A 20,439-nucleotide genomic window follows, 5' to 3' on the forward strand; every position below is an offset into this window, starting at 1 on the left:
TACCCTATTACCTACAATATCCTTCTTTAAATGTTCTTCTAATTCCATTTCAGACACTCTCCATTGTTTCAAATCCTCTTGCTTCTCCTCTGATTGCTCCTCCTTTCATGAACTTCTCTTTCTCTATCCATCTCTCGAATCTTGGTGTTTCCGAAAGCTCTGTTTTCTAACCACTCTACATTATTTCCCATGGGCATCTCAGTCATGTAGACGCTTTAACCTCCATCCACACATCCACATGCTAATGACTTCTCAGTGACAGGCATATCCCAGACTACTCTCGTGGGTTCCATACTCATAGACCCAGCTACCTGCTAAACATTTTCACGTGGACCTCACATGGGCATCGCAGACTTAGCATGTCAAAACTTCTAAACATTTTACTCTTCCCAGCTGCTTGCTTTCTTGATCTCCCTGTCTCTGAGACTAGAACCACCAATAGCCTTTTGCCCAAGTCAGAAAACCAAGAGCCACCCCAAATGCTCCCCTTCCTTACACTCACATATAATTAAAAATTGTCTAGTTGACCTCACCTTCCCAAATCTCTGAAGTTAATTGCCCCCTCTCCATCACCATTGCATAACACTGCTCTCAGTTTCCTAGCTCAGAATTTTGCAAATGCTCCCAACTGGTCTTCCTGGCTCCAGTCTAAGTCCCCTACCATGCGTCCCCTGCATGACACCAAAGTCATCTTTCTAACATGTAAATACGGTCATCCCATTGCCATGTACTTAAGATTATTTTTTGGCTCCTTAATGCTGATAGGATAAAAAGCACCCTGCTTTGCATGGCATATAAGACTGTTTGTGATCTGACACCTTCATTCCTATGTAGCCTCATTTCTCATCATGGTTTCTGTTGCCTCTGACACTTCATATCTATAATTACTCACCATCCTGGAATAGCCTGTGTTCTGACAACCTCAGTGCCTTAATATGTGGCTTTTCATCTATCTGACATAGCTTATCTCTCACTCCCACTTCCCTCCCCATGTCCCCTTGCCTATCTTGGGAGTCTCAGCTCAAGCATCTCACCTCCTGAGAAATCTCTCATGACCACACTGGAAAATTTTGGAGCTCCTCGTCTTTCTGTCTTCATCTATCACTAGGCATCAAACAAAACTCCATTAAAGGGTGTTCATCTTCCCCTCTCTTTTCTCCAAGGGAGGAACCTACTTTCTTTCACTTTGTCTTCCAAGGGTCTAGACTCAGGTATAGTGAGTGCTCATAAAATTATGTTGAATGAATGCATGAATAAATGAAATAAAAGAAGAAACACCACTCCTAGTCTTTTATTATGTTGTTTTTTGAGACAAGGTCTCACTCTGTTGTCCAGGCTGGAGTACAGTGGTTTGTGATCACAGCTCACTGCATCCTCAATGCAGTGAGTTGAGTAGCTGGGACCTCAACCTCCCAAGCAGCTGGAACTACAGGTGTGTGCTGCTATGCCCAAATAGTATTTTTATTTTTTGTAGAGATGGGGTCTTGCCATGTTGTCCAGGTTGTTCTCAAACTCCTGGGCTTCAGGGATCCTCCTGCATCAGCCTCCCAAAGTACTGGGGATTACAGCCACCATGGCCACTCCTAGTCTTTAATCTTAAGCATTCATCACTTAAAACAAATGTACCAGTAGAAGGAAAGGAAAAGGAACAACATCAATAAATGCAACCAGGTCCAAATACAAGGGTTTTTATCTAGGAAAATTATTTTACATATTGAATTACATAACTAACATGGATGTCTGTAAGTATTACTTTTAATGGCAAAAACCACAATTATTTTGCACCAACCTAATAGAAGACCATTGACTATACATGAGTTCCTATTAGAGTGCAGGATTGCTGATATCAAATCATCCTCCACATCCACGTTCTAGAAGCATTCACTGTGTACTAAGCCTCCTAGACCTCTGACCCCATTCTCCCACCACCCAAGGAATGAAGGCCTCTCCCTTGAGCATCTGGCCACTGGACTGCGGTTCCTGGAGCAGATGCGTCTATACCCCAGAGAGCAGACAAGCCACTTGTGCCTTTAGTTTCCGCTCCACGGACCCTTTCCACCATGACTTCATATTTCCTACCACTGATGCTCTCTGTTGGTCTTGGCAAGAATCAGCAAATGCCTCAGTCCACTGTAGATGGGAGTTGGGGGCCAGGGCGACCCATTCAGCCCCTCCTGCCCACAGCTTCTTGGGTATGTGACTTAGCAACAAGCCAAGCCTGGGCTGGGGAGACAAGAGCACACACAAGCAACCAGCCAGGGAGGGCTGCTCCCTGACTCCAGTCTAGTTTTCCAGCTTCTGAGACACATTGCTTTCTTTGGGCCTCCAGAGAAGCACATGGGAACAAATCCAGGTTGAAGAGGATGATAAGCGAGAAATGGCTTCAAGAAAAAATTTTTTATCATGCTGCTGCTTATTATTGAGCAAGAGTTCCCAAAATGTTTTAACCATGTAATAGAATTTGGGGCGGTTTGCAGTTAAGGAACACTGTAATGGATGACTTCATGGACAGCATCTTCCCACAATCTACCCCTCTTCACACTCCTCCTATCACTCCCCACTTTCCCATGCCCACCAAGGCATCCTAGCATTCAAAAATATAGGATCTGGCTTCTTCCATTCCCTTCTTGAGATGTGTATCAAACTATTGTGTGCGGATAGCCAGACAAGTGCTACCTTCTTGGAGAATTCTTTCAAATGATCAGACTTGAAACTAGATTTTTCATCTTTCCCCAAACTCAACAGTGCATGTTTATGTACTATGCAAACTGACACAGACCTACTGATACAGATCCTAAAAAAATGTCAAGCCAGGACTGAGAGCACGTTCCCTGCTTTTTCCTATGCTCTTAAGCAAATATCACCATGTGTTGTTGGTAAGTAGGCAAACAGCAGCAAATTTTATTATGACCTCTGAAGACTGTTCAGCAAAATAAAATCCTAAAAGCTAATTTATTGAATATTGACAATATATCAGGCACTGTATTAGGCACTTTACATGAGTTGTGTCATTTAACGCTCACAGTGGATCTTTGCATTTGTTGATAAGGAAACTAAGAGAGAAAAGGAAACTTGTCCACTCTGCCTTCGACTATCCCCAAGCTCACCCCAAAGAAGGGAAGCATGGACCTCCCAAAACTTTTCCCAGCAGTGGCCTTGAGTGCTCTTCACTTCTTCTGAACCAGGTCCCCTCCCAATCATTACCCAGCTGCAAACTCATCCACAGTGTCTTCCGGTTCCTATCCTACCTCTGGATCTTTAGATATGACCTCCCCAGAGCTTGATCCATGACTCTCCTTAAGAACCTCTGACTTGCCTTTGCTCCAAGGCTCTTCCACCCAGCTCCAGAGTCCTCAAAACCAATTTCTTACCCAGATGGAGGGATTGATTTGGCCACTACAACAAAGGGCTCCTGGGAAGAATTTCAGCCAACATATCAGGAATGTCACAATCACCTCCCTACAGTCAGCACCGCCAACACTGAGTGGTGTCAAACAAAGAAGGAGGGACAGAAAGGAAACCCTGAGAGGGGTAGAGACATGCATGCCACAGTGTCCAAGCAAAGCCACCATGTGGCCCATTTATGTTGCATCAACCCTGATTTTGGTCCCTCTTCTAATCCTTCAAAGAATGGGGTAATACCCTGACAAGGAAGATGGTTCCCTCCTACCCAGAGTTTCTGGGAGCATTAGCTCATCAGAACCTCCTTGCACCCTGCCGCAAGATGAGCTTGCACAGGATGAGCTAAGGGGAAGGAGTGGCTGAATCAGAAGCTTATGCCAGACCATCTCACCGGTTTGAACAGATCTCCCTCTTGCTGCTTAGATGGTAGATCTTAAGAAAAATAGCCTCCACTGATATGGCTGCGGCTTTCTCTGAGCTTGCCTTTTAATCCTGGGCCTTTCCCTCATCCTACCGTCTTCCTCCCCCAACCCATTCTCTTAGGCTGTTCTCCCTCTCCCAGTCCTGTTCACTAGTCCTTGTCCCCTCGAGCAGACAAAGGGTTAAAACATTTCCGGGACTGGAGAAGGCAAGCCACAGAGATGCAGGTGCTAACAGGGAAAGTGTGGGTTGGAATCTAGAATGATCTGTCACAGTTCCAAGAGCTTCTTTGGATAAGGAGTGATCACAGCTTTTGCTAAATGTCTCTAGGTGAAAATTCCATAAATCTAGAAACTGTGAAACTCAATGGAAATTTAATTAAATGAGTTAATATATAGAGAGTGCTTGGGACAATGCCTGGCACGTAGTGAGCTATATAAACACTTAGAAATGAGTAATAGTTTGGGGAAATACACATTTCAACATCATAGCATTCTATAGGTTCCAGAATCTTTACAAATGCTGATCTGACCTTGGATCTCTGCATTCTAAGTCACTACTCTCTTTGCCACCAGTCCTAAGATTTTCTCTTTCCTCCATCTCATTTCAGTCTTCCTCCTCTCTCTACCTAAGAATCTGAGAGTTTGTGTACATAGCTAAAGATTCCTCTCTTTGGTTCTCAGCACCATGCCTTAGTCTGAAATCCAGTAAAAACCCTGATTTCCCTAAACCTTGTGTTGGTGTGGCTTATGTGGTATCTTTCCTATCTCCTTGGCAGTGATTGCATTGGCTTCATAATAATAACCATTTAGAATCAAGCTGTAATTATAGGAAGGCACTGGAAAGCCCTTGCAAGAATAAGCTTTCCTCTCCCAGACACACTGGCAAGGGTTCTGGTTGGATTTTTCAGCTAAGATTCTCTCTGGAAATCTCATGGAAAAAAGGTTAGAATTATGGAGGGAGGTGAGACCCCAGTGGTCTTAACTTCAGGACCATCCCCTCGTGTGCCCATTGCTGTTTGATGCTGCCAGCAAAAAATGCAGAAGTCTTCACTCCCAACAGAGTAAATGATACTTAGTGTCCTTCAAAATTACAACTCAAAGAGGATCCAGGGAAAAGAAGCAAGTATGCTTTTCTCTTTTCTAAGGCTTCAAGGGGGAAGGGAGGAATATGGCTGAGAGAGAAAGAAAGTGCCTCCACCTAAGTGTGCAAGACCCCAACAGGCAGCCGACCTCCCAGCTTTACCGATTGCTCCAGGATCAGGCCCAGTCCTGGCTGCACTGAGCTGTGGCTGACATTCTTCCCAAGCCCCTCATGTTTGCCAGGAGAGGGGAGTGACAGACGCCGCTCTCCTGAGACATGATGAAAGATATGAGTCAGAAGAAGTGGGAGGAAAATTGGCATTAGGTTCAGGGCCCAGAATGTCAGCAACTGAATGAGGCTGAAGGAAGAGGAAGGGGAGCTTTAAGGGAAAAAATATGACCATCTCCAGCTTCTTTCTTCCTACTGAGATATTTCCAAAATATGCCAGATACAGAGTGGTCAAGTCCAGGGCCACTCTGAGAACCAAAGAGCCCTCTACCGATGTGGTTTGAGCTTCCTCTGTGCCAGGTTCTGTTCTGGAAGCTGGGCTGAAAAATGGGCCAGGGTAGGTGGTGTGGGGATGACGAGGCAAGGGTGATGACCTGTTTTTGATGTGGTCACACCATATGCTATCAGAGTTGCAGGAACTCTCAGGAACGGCTAGTTTGCAGATAAGCAAGCCAGGACTCAGAGAGGGCACAGGATTTGTCTAAGGCACACAGATACAGCTCCCTGGTTGGCTGACAAGACGTTGGTTTGTTTGACTTTCAGAACAATGTGCAAGGGCAGTGCAGAAGATCTGGTGCACGAACCCAGCAGAGACCAACTCTCAAGTAGGGATGCTGACAAGTTGTCACCTGTGGGCCATGCGATGGACGCAGAAGTGGCCATCGTGACAATCTCAGTACACCTACCTTACTGTCTTGTTCCACTTAGGGTCTAGGATCTGTGATTAACAAGCCTTCATTCCTAAAATATCAAAGAAATCCAAGCAATTGTGAAAACACACATCTGTGATGGAAAGTTTGTTTTGTTTTGTTTTGTTTTTTTGAGATGGAGTCTCACTCTGCCACCAGGCTGGGGTGCAGTGGCGCGATCTTAGCTCACTGCAACCTCTGCCTCCCGGGTTCAAGCGATTCCCCTGCCTCAGCGTCCCGAGTAGCCGGGATTACAGGCATGTGCCACCACGCCTGGCTAATTTTTGTATTTTTAGTAGAGACAGGGTTTCACCATGTTGGCCAAGATGGTCTCGATCTCCTGACCTCGTGATCCACCCGCCTCAGCCTCTCAAAGTGCTGGGATTTCAGGCGTGAGCCACTGCCCCCAGCCGGAAAGTTTTTAAGTCACGTATTATGAGGCTTGTGGCTCTTTCAGTTCCTTTTCAGTGAAAGGGAAAGGGACTCAAACGTCTGATTTAAGTACTATATCATCTACCTAAGTGACTTAATTAAAACAAACAAGGAATACCTATCGTAGCAGGAATTCTGCTCAATTCAGTCAGTGTTTACCTGATTTGTTAATTTCACAAAAAGAGATGTCTTCTCCCTGACATTTCTTTTTGTCAGTTTCACTTTTTCACAAGTTTCTGCTTTCTGTTTAATTTTGTGGGAATAAAAGAACACCAGCAAGCAGCCCCAATCCTAGGAGAGTGTTCTCTAAGTGTGGCATACAGAGTTCCAGAACCACAGTCCCTGAGTGTTTGGGTTTAAAGATGCACATTCTCCGGCCCTACCCTTGGTCCACGAATTCAGAACCTCTGAGGGCAGAGTCGGGGAATCTGCATTTTAACAAGTTCCCCCGTGTAATTATCGCACGCTGCAGTTTGATTTTTAAAACGCCTCTTCTGTGCCTGTAGCAGAAAAAAAACCTCTGGGGAAAAAAAAAATTATGCCAGCAACACGACTGTGCCCTCAAAGTTTATAATTTAAGCTGGATAGAACCAGACACAAACAATGATACAGACAACAGGTCAAGGGCAGGGAATGGGGAGTCGACACTTCCCCTTTCAGAACAATCATCAGCTCTGAAAACATGTGTCCGTTGTTGCTTTTCCCTCCTAGACTGTGAGCTCCCTGGTGACAAGTGTCAGACTTATTCATGACAGTCTCCCCAGCACCTTGCCCAGTACTGTTTCCTGGCACAGAGTACATATTTAATACATTTGTGCTGAACAGGTGAATTAGGCTTGTCCCAGGAAAGACACAAGGAAAGACCCAAGCAAAGATTTCCCAAATCGTGCCCAAATTCTTTATTCCTCCGCTACATTTCAATGCACAGATTTCCCCATGGACCACACGCCAAACACTCCAGGCTGGGAAACTGCAGGGCAAAACTCCTATGAGGCTTGGACACTGCCCGTAGGCTGCCAGGGAGAAAAGGAATCCCAGAGAATGTTTTTTTGTTTTTTTGGTTGTTTTCACCTTATGGAAACCAGGAACAGTCTGTTTTCAAAAGTCACAGCTCTCGAGAGCCCTGCTTGATTGGGGTGGTGGCACTAGCATTGCTCAGTCTCCAGGATACCAAAGCTAAGCAGCTAAACAGACACCAGGGTCTCAGAGAAGGAGGAACTCAGAGGAAAATGCATGCGTCTGTTGGGGACGGGCCTCCCATGCCCTTGGGGACAGAATGAGTGAAATAACTAACACTTGGGAGCCTGCAGAGATCTGTGGCCCCCAACGTTAGCCCCAAATTTCAGAGTATTCTAAATACCATCCTTTAAAACACATTTCTTTGGTATATTTCCTATTCTTTTAAGTTGAAAATGCTCCTGGAATTGTTTTAACCCTGATTCATGCTAGGATATAAATTACTTAAACTGCATTTGTTTGCCAGGGCTGCTATAACTAAGTATCACAGACAAGGTGGCTGAAGCAACAGACATTTTTCATCTCACAGTTCTGGAGGCCGAAGTTCAAAATCAAAGTGTCCACAGGGTTGTTTCCTTCTGAAGGCTTGGAGGGAAGAATCTGTCCCCGGCTTCTCTCCTGGCTTCGTGGATGGCATCTTCTCCCTGCGTCTCTTCACATTGTTTTCCTTCTATGCATGTCTCCATGTCCAAATTTTCCCATTTTGGGCCAGGCAGAGTGGCTCATGCCTGTAATCTCAGCACTTTGGGAGGCTGACGTGGGCGGATCACAGGGTCAGGAGTTTGAGACCAGCATGGCCAACATGGTGAAACCCTATCTCTACTAAAAATACAAAAATTAGCTGGGCATGGTGGCGCACACCTGTAATCACAGCTACTCGGGAGGCTGAGGCAGGAGAATCACTTGAACCCAGGAGACGGAGGCTGCAGTGAGCCGAGATTGCACCACTGCACTCTAGCCTGGGTGACAGAGCAGGACTCCATCTCAAAAAAAAAAAAAAATTCAACAAATTTTCCCATTTTTTAAAGACACACTTCATTTGGATTAGAGCCCACCCTAATGACCTCATTTAACTTGATTCCCACTGTAAAAGACCTTCTCTCCAAATGACATCACAGTCAAAGATACTAGGCTGGGGGCTAGGACTCCAGGACAAGAATTGGACTGGAACACGATTCAACCCATAACACTTACCCAGTCTTTTTCCTGGAGACAGAAGTTAGACAGAGAAAGGCTTGAGGAGAAACAGATCCTGAATGTCAGAAAAGGGCACTGACAGAAAAATCTCAGCAGCCCCCAGGGAGACAGGGAGAGGGATGCACACTTACCACAGTGCCCAGGGTGGGGTTCAGAGCCTGGCCCTTGACCTGTCTTCATATGGCTATTGCAATGGGGACACCACCATTTCCTTCTGCACCTGACCTTCATCTCTCAGGTGAAATGAGCAAGCTGGCCCTCTGCACCTGCAGAAGGTGGCTTTGCAGAATTGGGAGGTCTGTTTACTGATTCCATTTCCCAGAGCACTCAGTCCCCCTAATAACCTTTTGCCAGATTTAACTCCCTCCAAAGCCTACCGTGCCACGAATGCTGCCTTTGCTCTTGAATTGCCTTGAAAATATTTTCTAGTTGTGATGAGGGTAATCTGTCACCTTTGGTATAGTCTAAGTTCTTTTGGTGTCAGCTGACCTGAGATCTAGTACCTGTTCTATCACATACCACCCATATGGCCTGGAGCAAATTGTTACTTCACCTCTCTGTGCCTCAGTTTCCTCATCTGTAGGTGGAGATAATGGTAACTCACAGGGTTATTGCAATGATTAGATAACAGCATTTGTAAAACGTGTGCATTTAACAAATGGTGGTTATTATTAACCACTTTACAATGGATAACTCCAACGGCTTCCTATGTGCACAACAGATAACAAATGTTCCTCACCACCTATTGGTGTGTGATGCATATGTAGACATTCAAAAATGGTCACCCAGTGGTTCGCATGTTAGCTGGGCTGACCCAAAATCAGCTCCAAACGTCTTGCTCCTCTTCACAGAACCCAGGCATCCCCCCAGTCTCTGGCTCCATACTCTTCCTCTGATCCCCAAACATGCTATTCTGGATATGCCAGTTCCTTGGGCTGCTTTAAGGGAAAACCCTCTAATAAAGGTTGAGAGGTACAGCTGGGGTCAGGGTGGGGGCAGGGATCATGCATCAGAACTTAGGGACCCCTAGTTGTCACCCTGAGAGTTCTGGGGGACTTGGATTTCTACTGCTCCAAATAATCCCTAGCTGTAAATATTCAGCAAGAAAAGCAAGGTCCTCTGCCCCTGGTCTCTGGTTGCTTTTGAAACCCAGCACCTAGGCTAAAGAGTTAACATAACCTCATTGCAGAGGGATTTCTCTGTAATCTGTACACATGTCCCAGGGATCAGGACTGTGGGAGGTGGTGCTAGTCCGTGGCAGTTGCTCAGGCCCTTGGCCCTCAGCCCACCAAGCTCCCAAAGCCCTCTTGTTCTAGTTGATTTCAAATTTAATTAAGAACAACTGAGCAGAAGCCAAGGTCTCTGCAGGGCCGTCACCCCTGAGCTTGGAGAGGGCCAAGGAGATAAGCATCTCATCACAAACCAGAAAGCTGGAAGGGCCATCACCTTCACCTGTGAAAACAAGGCAGCAATGACCACCAGGATGCTCAGCAAAGCCTGTGGATGGTGCACGGAGGGGCGATGAGAACACCATCAGAGCAGACTCAACTGGAGCCACGTCCCGGCCATCCTCATAGGCAGGCAGGAGGAGGCCCCTTGCTTTTCCATGTCACTCTCACCCTCTCTGGCCAAAAGGACTCACATTGTGCCCTCAAATTCATTAAGCTGATAGCCCACATCTGAGAAGGACTTAGCCAAAAAGAGAAAGAACAGACAGAGAAGAGAAAGAAAAGGTGAGCAGACCAGTTGGCCTGAGAGATCTGTCAAGTTGGAGCCCAGGAGGGGTAGATGCCTGGAGAGATACTGGGGTCACTGAGTAGCTAGATGGTTGTCCGATGTTTCTAAAAGTCTGGCCCACTGGCCCCCCTACCACAACATCAGAGCAGCTCCAAATTCTGGGATGCTTCTCTGTAATATAGATTCCTAGGGCTCCACCCAGACTGAGGAAAAGATCCTCTAAGGGGGCCAGGAAATTAGCAATTTAAGACGTTCTTCAGGTGATTTTGACAATGACTTTTTAAGACTAGGACCCTCTAGAACAGGGATTGGCAAACTACAGTCCATGGGCCAAATCTGGCCCGCAGCTTGATTTTTGTAAATAAAGTTTTATTGGAACACATGCCTGTTTGCTTATATATTGTCAATGGCTGTGTTTGCAATACAACGGTGGAGTTGAGCAATTATGAAAAAGATAGTATGACCCTCAAAACCTGGCCCATTACAGAAAATGCTTGCCAACCCCTGGCCTAGAGCAGTGATTCTCGACCTTAGTAGTATGTTAGAATCAGCTGGGGAGTTTTCAACATTGCTGATGTGGGCTCACCTCAGTAAGAAAGTAAGCATAGGCGTCGATGGGTTTTGATGCTCTTAAGGTCTAGGAAATGTCTGGGGAAATCCTGGGCTCTTACAGAGCTGGTAACAATTTAGAATTTCCTCCTGCCTCTTCCTCTGATGGTAAATAACTTCAAAAGGTATTTATGGTTGATCTTCTATGAACATGATGTTAGAGCTAAACAGGGATTCAGACATACCTGCCTTCAGTTGCAAGAAATACAAGTCACAAGTTTTTTCCCCTTGGATTCTAATGTCCAGCTCTGTCCTTAGGGAGACATCCTTCACCCGGTTCCAGCGGTTTCCCAGCTCTGGCTGACCACCGACTGGTTGCATCAGAATCACTTGGGGGAGCCTCGTGGAAATCCAGACTCCAGGTCCCATTTCAGAACTATGAATTCAGTTCTCCGAGAGCGGGGCCCGTGGGTGGGTTTTGTTAAGGAGGTTCCAGGTGGTCGTTCAGACATCCAGGCTTGGGAGCCACTGCTAGGAGGCTCTCTGGGGCTTGGCTGGAGAAAATCTTGTTTCAATCAGGTGGAAGGCTTTTTCCAGAAGCCAGCCCCCAGGCCCAGAGGAGTCATTTTTCTCACTTTTGATGTAAACTTGGACAGTAGCTGACTTTATGTCCATCTCTTGGCTCCCAGTGAAATCGGACCATAATACCATGATCTCTGTTAAAGTTGGGGTGTGCGTGTATGTGTATGCTTGTGTGTGTGTCTGTGACTGTGAGAGTGTGTATGTGGGCAAGTGTGTGCGTGTGTGTGAGCATGTATATGAGTGTGTGTACCTGTGCATACACGTGTGTACATGCATGTTTGAGTGTGCTTGTGTGTGTGGACATGTGTTAATGTATGTAACTGTGTTAGCATGTGAATATGTGCATGTGTATTTGAGTGTGAGAGTGTATATGTAGGTAAATGTGCAGGTGTGGGTGCATGTGAGTGTGTGCATGTGTGTGAGGATTTAGGTGTGTGTATATGTGTGTTTGAGTATGTGTGTGTGTGCATGTGGGTGTATGAACTTGTTAGCATGGGTGTTGGTGTACGCATGTATGTATGAGCATATGTGTATGTACATATGTATTTGAGTGTGACTACGTGCATGTGTATTTAAGTGTGTGCATTCGTGTGTGTCAGTGTGTGGGTGTGTGCGTGTGTTTGAATGTGAATGTGCAGATGTGGGCATGTATGTTTGAGTGTGTTTCAGTGTGTGTGGGTGTGTGCATGTATGAGTATGTGTCTTTCAGTGTGAGTGTGTGGGTGTGTGCATGTCTGAGTGTCTTTCAGTGTGAGTGTGTGGGTGTGTGCATACATGAGTGTGTGTTTCTGAGTGTGTGGGTGTGTGCATGTATATATCTGTGTGTGTTTCTGTGTGAGTGTGTGGGTGTGTGCATGTCTGTGTTTGTGTTTCAGTGTGAGTGTGTAGGTGTGTGCATTTAATGTTTGTGTTTCAGTGTGAGTGTGTGGGTGTATTTGTGTGTTTCAGTGTGAGTGTGTGGGTGTGTGCATGTATGTTTGAGTGTGTTTCAGTGTGTGTGGGTGTGTGCATGTATGAGTGTGTGTGGGTGTGTGCATGTATGTTTGAGTGAGTGTGTTTCTGTGTGAGTGTGTGGGTGTGTGCATGTATGAGTGTGTGTGGGTGTGTGCATGTATGTTTGAGTGAGTGTGTTTCTGTGTGAGTGTGTGGGTGTGTGCATGTCTGAGTGCGTTTGTCTTTCAGTGTGAGTGTGTGGGTGTGTGCATGTTTGTGTGTGTTTCAGTGTGAGTGTGTGGGTGTGTGCATATATGAGTGTGTGCGTCTTTTGGTGTGTGTGGGTGTGTAAATGTATGTTGGAGAGTGTGTGGGTGTGCGCGCGTGCATAAAATCACTCCACAAGAGCCAGACCTTGAGCTGAAGCGCTCAGATTTTCAGTGGCCCAGCCAGGCCAGGCAGGGGTCGGGGGAGGCCAGTAAGTGCCAAAGGCCCCAAGCACCAGGAGGTGCCCACACCAGGGCCACGCACTGCAGGCAGGTCCTGGACCTTCCACAGCCCTCAAATCCCTCTGCCACTTACCTGCCCTGTGGCTTAGACAGGTGCTGCCGCCTTCCCAAGCCTCGGGTTCCTCATCCACCTCAGAATAATGAGTGTACCCACGTGATGAAATTTTGGATGGGGGGAAAAAGGGAAAACTAAGATAATGTTTTTAAGTGTCCAGCTCAGTGCCTGGCTACTAGCAACTGCTCACTTGTTTGTCCTTGCACCAAACATTTAGTGAGAACTTGCTCTGAATGGATTCTTTTCTGGGGATTGGAAATAAAACATGGAACGAAACCCCAGAAAAATCCCCATCTTCATAGAATGTACGTGCTAACAGGGATGGGGAGGAGGACAAAAATAAACAACCAAGGAAGCATATGGTACCTTCAGATGGTGACCAACGCCATAAAGAATAACAAATAGGACCACAGACACCACGTGAACCCAGAGACATGAGTGTTGGTCACCATTCAAAAGCTGATGCAGCCAGTGGTGACGCCTCCCCTGTGGAGGGTTTAGCTCCTTCACCCCAGGACTCCCTAACTTCCTGGGGCTCAAGTATAGTTATTTGTGGTTAAAAGCTGAGCATTCTATCGTGAGAGTTAGGCAAAGCAAAACAAAAACAAAACCTAAAATGAAAACATTTTGAGAAAAACAAACAAAACTCCTCTACACGTTTACCAGAGATTTGTTTCTGCCGGCTTCTTGGCTGAGAGTGAATATTTATCTACATGCACAAAAAGAACTGGGTTGGGGGGCAGAGGCACCTGAAGGGGGACCCCGTTTCCAGAGGGGCAGCTGCCAGCTACAGGGATGGCTGGGACCCCGAGCCTGCCTAGGAGGAATGCCCTTCCAGAACCCAAACCTTCATTTTTAGGATGTAACTCTAGATGCAGAAAAGACTGAGAAACCAAGACTGGCAGTTTTAGCCAACCGCGTTCCCAGGGGCAGTTTTGTAATGGAGGAAGAAGATTTTGAAATACCTCGCTCTTCCAGCCAGTGAGAAATAAATCTCCATTTCTGGTCAGAGGCTGAGACTCACTGGCTCTTGGATTCACTCAGGAGAGAAATCCACCATCTCTCCCCTGGCCCATCTCATCTCCACCCAGCACCACCAGGGAAATGACTGTTCCCTAGCTGCATTCACCCGGCTTTGAAAGATCCTGCGAGGCTTTGAGAAGGAAAATGCTTTATGCTGACTGTGCTTTCTCAGCTATCATTTGGGCTGTTTCATGCAAACTCAGCCCTTAGGCACGTTTTATGCCTTTATTTCAATTCCACTCATCCCCTTACCAACACACACACACAGACACACGTACTAGAAGCCAGGATCTAATTAGACAATGTCAATAAGAGTTCTTTAAAAACTGCTGGACATAAACAAAGTGGGATTCACTGTTATTATTCCCCATCAAATCAACAGGACATTTTCCCCCAAAGCCCCACAAATACACACATCCCAGGGCAACCGAGCGTTTTGGAGAGGTCTCAGTGGGCCATCTGCATTTACTGACCTCGTTGTGAGGAAAGGACAGGAAAAAACAGACAGCAGGGATATAAGATTCTCCCACACAAATGGACCCCCAAGACACTCTGCATTGTTTCATCAATGACTGTCACACCCCTTCCTTCTCTGGGACCACAAGGAAGACCGACCAGGGATCCATTTGAATCTTAACACTAAAGCAGAAGAGGCCACTTGACATACGTTTACTAAACACCCGCTCTATCCCCCGATGATACTAGATACCAGATGATACACAAACAAAGAAGCCATACTCTCTTCTTTCTAGGAATGCAGAGTCCATAAGGATAACAGACGAACAGATGCTTTTTGTTTGTTTGTTTTGTTTTGAGACAGAGTGTCGCTCTGTCACCCAGCCTGGAGTGCAGTGGCACGATCTCGGCTCACTGCAACCTCCACCTCCCAGGTTCAAGCTATTCTCATGCCTCAGTCTCCTGGTAGCTGGGATTACAGACATGCACCACCATGCCCAGCTAATTTTTGTACTCTTAGTAGAGACGGGGTTTCACCATGTTGGCCAGCCTGGTCTTGAATTCCTGACCTCAGGTGATCTGCCTGCCTTGGCCTCCCAAAGTGCTGGGATTACAGGCGTGAGCCACCTTGCCCACCATAGACATGTTTTTAAATGACAGTAACATCCAACCTCCTTTCCCTGACCAGTAAGACCTTATGTGATCTGATTCTCTACCTCCTTTTTTGAACATATGCTGTACTCCTTTTGCCTCATTTGCTGTGTTCCAGCCACACTAGCCTTCTTGCTGTTTCTCAAATGTGCTAAGAATATTCCCACTTCAGGGCCATGGCATTTTCTGTTCCCTCTGTCTGGAATGTTCTTCCCGCGGACCTGCCAGTGGCTTTCTCTCTACTTCCTGCAGGCTCTGCTTCCTCCAGGGAGGCTCTTCAGCCGCTCTACCTGAGACAGCCCTGTGTTTTCTTTATCTATCCTTTTACCCTGTTTTGTTTTTTTTCCATAGCATATGTCACTGTCTAACATGATGGTACAAATGTATTATCTGCCTCTCTCACTAGAGTCCCACTGAGCCCTCTCCAAAATGCTCAGTTGCCCTGGGATGTGTGTATTTGTGGGGCTTTGGGGGAAAATGTCCTGTTGATTTGATGGGGAATAATAACAGTGAATCCCCTTGGTGCTCATTGGAGCACCAATTTGGTTTCTTTTGTTTCCTGCTATATGCTTAATGCCTAGCATATAATGGGTAAACAATAAATATGTGTTGAAGAAATGAATAAATAAATGCTATAATGAAAACAGAATGCAGCAGAATCTATCCAAACCACTCCCAGCCTGTTACGTGAGTATCCCACTTGAAGCACCTCCGTTCCTGGAAAGTTTCCTTTAAGCACAGTTCCAAGGACCAAAGTTTATTTCTCAGAGGCCATTTATTGTAAGACTTGGAGATGTGTTTCTCTGGAAAAAGATGTTTACACCACTGTACACTGAAATCTCAGAAAAGTGCTCCAAATCATAGAAATATACAATGGCGATTTTCTAAAATATGAGCTGCAGAATTTCAAACACTTCTATGTGAATGCCCTCTTAATAAAGCAAAACAGTGTCAAGATGATACAGTGGAAGTGAGGCGGGAATCAGAGCCTCACCCACCAGGGCCTCCTTCCCTCCTCAAAAGCTATCACTAAGACAGATGAATGACACGAAGACTGTCACTAAGATGCCCAGCCACCTACAGACATGGTTTACAAAGCAAATACCAAATCTTCCCAAGAAAAGCCAGGACAAATGGAAATAAGTGAGAGTATATTTGTCTGTTGACATTAAAGCTTCAAAGCCTAGAGAAAGTATCATCACCAGCCTCTGGCAAAAGGCACCCCTCCCAGCCATCCCCAGCAGCCTACTGCAGAGGCACAAGCATCTCTTCTGGATTGGTCAGAGCCAGGGTCAGGACACTGAGGCACAGTTGCCGGCTTTAAAATATCTGTGATGCAAAACAATTTTGATCAGGGGAGAGAAGGAAATCATGCAAGTGTGATGATCCAAAATGCAGCAGGAAATAAGCAAAGGAGGAGAGTTTATGAGAGTTTATATTGGACAAGTCTAGAAAAAAATGAAACAGAACAGCAGTGTATTTACTGAATCTGGTGGAACAGGGACGCCATAAAGCCAGGTTAAGTATGTGCAGTTAGGGACCATGATTCCCTGTATGCATGTCTGGGTCATCTACGAGCTGCTTCCTGCTTGCTGTAGCATCATTCTACTCCACACACTGCCACTGGGAACCCTCCATGGGCTGGTGGAAGAGATGTAAGATGAGAAGACAGAGGATCTCACAGCTTACCCTCAACTGCCTCAACAGCCCAAAGACACCCGTCAAGGGAGCAGTCATAATAATAACAGCAGCAATTGTGATCGTAGCAAACACCCCTCCTCCCTGGGCCACTGTAGGGGACAAAAGCTCCCCATAAATTGTAAAGCAAGTTTTAGTCATCTGTTTATGCAAACACTCATTGCAGGCCTCCTCTGGGCCAGACTTTGCTCAGCAGTAACTGGACAGACAGAGGCTAGGAGCACTGGTGCAGATCCTAGCAGGAAATGCAGACAATGCAGAGAGAGAGAAGTAAGTTGGGTCGTACAAATAAATATGAGAAACAAGAGAACAGGGCAAGGGCTGGTGGACAGCTGGGGTTCAATGTTGAATAGAGGGGTTGGGGAAGCTCCCTCTAAGGAGGGAACATTTTTGTTTTTGTTTGTTTTGAGACAGTCTCACTCTGTCATCCAGCCTGGAGCGCAGTGGTGTGATCTCGGCTCATTGCCACCTCCCCCTCCCAGGTTCAAGTAACTCTTCTGCCTCAGCCTCCCAAGTGGCTGGGACTACAGGTGCACACCACCCCACCCAGCTAATTTTTGTATTTTTGGTAGAGACAGGGTTTTGCTGTGTTGGCCAGACTTGTCTGGAACTCCCAACCTCAGGTGATCTGCCTGCCTCAGCTTACCAAAGTGTTGGAATTACAGGCAGGAACCACTGCACCCAACCAGGAGAGAACATTTGAGCAGACACCCACATGAAGGGCCAACCATGAGACCATCTAGAAGAAGAACGTTCCAGGCAGTGGGAACAAGAAATGCAGAAGTTTGCAGCAGAGGCTCAGGCAGGTGACCATGGGGAAGAATGAGGTAATGAGGGACAAAACTTCCCCAACCAGGGCAAGACTTGAGACTATGCTCCTCCATGTGAGTTGGGAAGTAGCAGGATCACCCAGTAACATCCGAAAAGCGTCACTCTGGCAGATCTCGAAGGTAGCATTATTGCTGCATGCCCAGAACCACTCGTAGCAGCTCCTGACCTCTGTGAATCCAGTGGAAACAACTCAGACTGACCACATAGTGGCTCTCCCTTGGCCTTTGACTCTTCCATCTGTTCATTTTTTATCAACAGATTAACTGCAGAGCAAAGAGAACAGGGAAGTTGCGGCGGTACCACCATTTCCCACCAGGTTATGCTCCTCCACGTCCCTGGTGAATTTGCATGAGATAACAGCAGTAAGGAATAGTAAGGAATTCACTGTAACAGAACAGAAACCACAGGATGTCATAGCAAGAGCGTCCCAAAGCAGGAACATGTTAGGGTTAGAGGTAAGATGTTGAAGCAAAAAGGCGGTGGGTAATAATTACGGTGCAGACACTGCTTAACCAAATATGCTTTTCCATGTTCCTGCCGAGGAATGCCCGATGCAAAACTATTTGCATGCTCTCACTGCACATGTCATCTGCAAAACAGCCCAGCACAGTTCTGGTTTCTCTAGGTGAGGTGACTCTGCTTTCCAGGATAGCAGCAGGATTGTTGCTTTGCTCCGGGCCTTGTCGTTGGCCATGGAGGAGCCAGACTGCAGGCTGTGATGTGCTTGCCTCAAGGCTGGACTATCAGAGCATCAGAGTGTGTCTCCGAATGTCAGGAAGAGGAATCGGGTTGACTGAGAAGGGCGGTGATTTCTGATAGGAGGTTCCCAGCCAGGCGCAGTGGCTCACGCCTGTAATCCCAGCACTTCAGGAGACCAAGGCGGGTGGATCACCTGAGGTCAGGAGTTCAAGCCCAGCCTGGCCAACATGGCAAAACCCCACCTCTACCAAGAATACAAAAATTAGCCGGGTGTGGTGACATGCGCCTGTAATCTCAGCTACTTGGGAGGCTGAGGCAGCAGAATCACTTGAACCTGGGAGGCGGAGGTTGCAGTGAGCCAAGATCATGCCATTGCACTCCAGCCTGGGCAACAAGAGTGGAACTCCATCTCAAAAAAAAAAAAAGTTCCCATTCACCCTTCTATGCTAGACGAGTGTTGTTGGGTTATTATTCCTTCCAAACTTAAAAAATTATGGGGAATGTTAGAGCCCAAAAAACAGGAGCTACAGGCTAGGGGTTACTAATCACAGGGCCTGGGGTTCCCTCTGACAGCAAGGGGAGGTGATTCAGCTGTGCCTTCTCATTGTCTCACTGTGTGGGTTGAATTGTACACCCCCGCCCCCCAAAAAAAAAGATCTATGGAAGTCCCCTATTGACTCAAAATGTGACTTTTTTGGAAAGAGGGCCTTTACATGGGGTAACCAAGTTAAAATTGGGTCATATAGATGGGCCCTAATCCATCAGGGCTGGTGTCCTTATAAAAAAGGGAAATTTGGACACTAGACAGACACACACAGAGGGAAGATGATGTAAAGACAAAGGGAGGAAGCCGTTCACAAGCCAAGAAACGCCTGGGTCTCCTCACAGCTAGGCAAGCAGCCTGGGGCAGATTCACCCACACAGCCCTCAGAAGGAACCAACCCAGCTGACACTTCATTTTCCACTTCAAGCCTCCAGAATTGGGAGATGATAAATTTCTGCTTAAGCGCCCCAGTTTATGGTACTGCTGTTTAAGCCCTCCCTGGAAGTGAATACACTCACCAATAACAGCTTATACTGAAGGGCTGTCTTTAGCGAATATTAGTGAACCCTGGTGTCCTGCAGGGGACGTTCGCAGAGTTGAAGATGTGGATAATTTCACATGGTTTTTGCAAGGTGCTGGGCTCCCAGCACATATTCTGCAACAAGCTCTATGAACATGGCCTCCTCCCGGATTTTCCATGCTTGCTTTGCATTAAGCAATAGACTGAGACTTGGACTATCTCATTTCACCCCGAGGAACAAAATGAGTTGGATGTTTACACCATTTTATAGGTGAGAATACAAAGGCATTAGTTGTTGTACAGTAGTCATGAAAGATGGCTGAAAAATCAGGTGCAAAGAGGGTGTGCCAGGGAGCCCCCATGAGGAGGGCTCTGCTAACAGACAGGGGAGGGCCAGGGAGCCGTAAGTTCTTCTGAGCCAAGGAAACCCATCCTGGAGGAGAAAGAGATAGACAGGCCAGAGTTCCAAGCCTGGTTCTGCCTCCTGCAGCCATCAGGCCTTGGCCATCTCCATGCCAGGGTTTCTCTATAGGAGGAGTATCGGCAGGGGCGTCCACACATGGCAGGACATTCCACCCCCCTAGCATCCACCCACTCCCTGCCAGCAGGGCGCTGCACTTCCCCCCAGGCATCGGGGACTTCCACAATCACCCCACACATTCCAAACACCCCTTAGGGGGTGGTGCCCTGTCCAGGTGGGAACCCCTGAATCATTGTGAGTCTCATTAACTTCACTCCTAAAATGAGAAAGACATTATCCTTCCTCCTAGGTTATGAGGGACTTGAGATTTTTCTCTTTTTTTTTTTTTTTTTTTTTTTTTTTTTTGAGATGGAGCCTCGCCCTGTCACCCAGGCTGGTGTGCAGTGGCACGATCTAGGCTCATTGCAACCTCCGCCTCCTGGGCTCAAGCGATTCTCCTGCCTCAATCTCTTGAGTAGCTGGGATTACAGACATGGCACCACTGCGCCCAGCTAATTTTTGTATTTTTAGTAGAGATGGGGTTTCACCATGTTGCCCAGGCTGGTCTTGAACTCCTGACCTCAGGTGATCCACCCGCCTTGGCCTCCCAAAGTGCTGGGATTACAGGCGTGAGCCACCAAGCCCAGGTGGGACTTGAGATTTTAGGTGTATAGAAGGCAGCATTTTCCAACCTCAGTGCCATTGACATTTTGCCCTGGATGGT

General features: G+C 46.7%; 1 annotated feature.

Moving 5' to 3' along the window:
* Positions 6,970-7,049: a silencer, noted in NCBI's record as "silent region_8913". NCBI's record gives its function as "represses an Ori minimal core promoter by ATAC-STARR-seq in GM12878 lymphoblastoid cells {active_cell/tissue: GM12878}" and the evidence as "EXISTENCE:reporter gene assay evidence [ECO:0000049][PMID:35858748]".

Source organism: Homo sapiens, chromosome 17 (genome assembly GCF_000001405.40).
Source record: "Homo sapiens chromosome 17, GRCh38.p14 Primary Assembly".
In the NCBI taxonomy this organism is placed as follows: domain Eukaryota; kingdom Metazoa; phylum Chordata; class Mammalia; order Primates; family Hominidae; genus Homo; species Homo sapiens.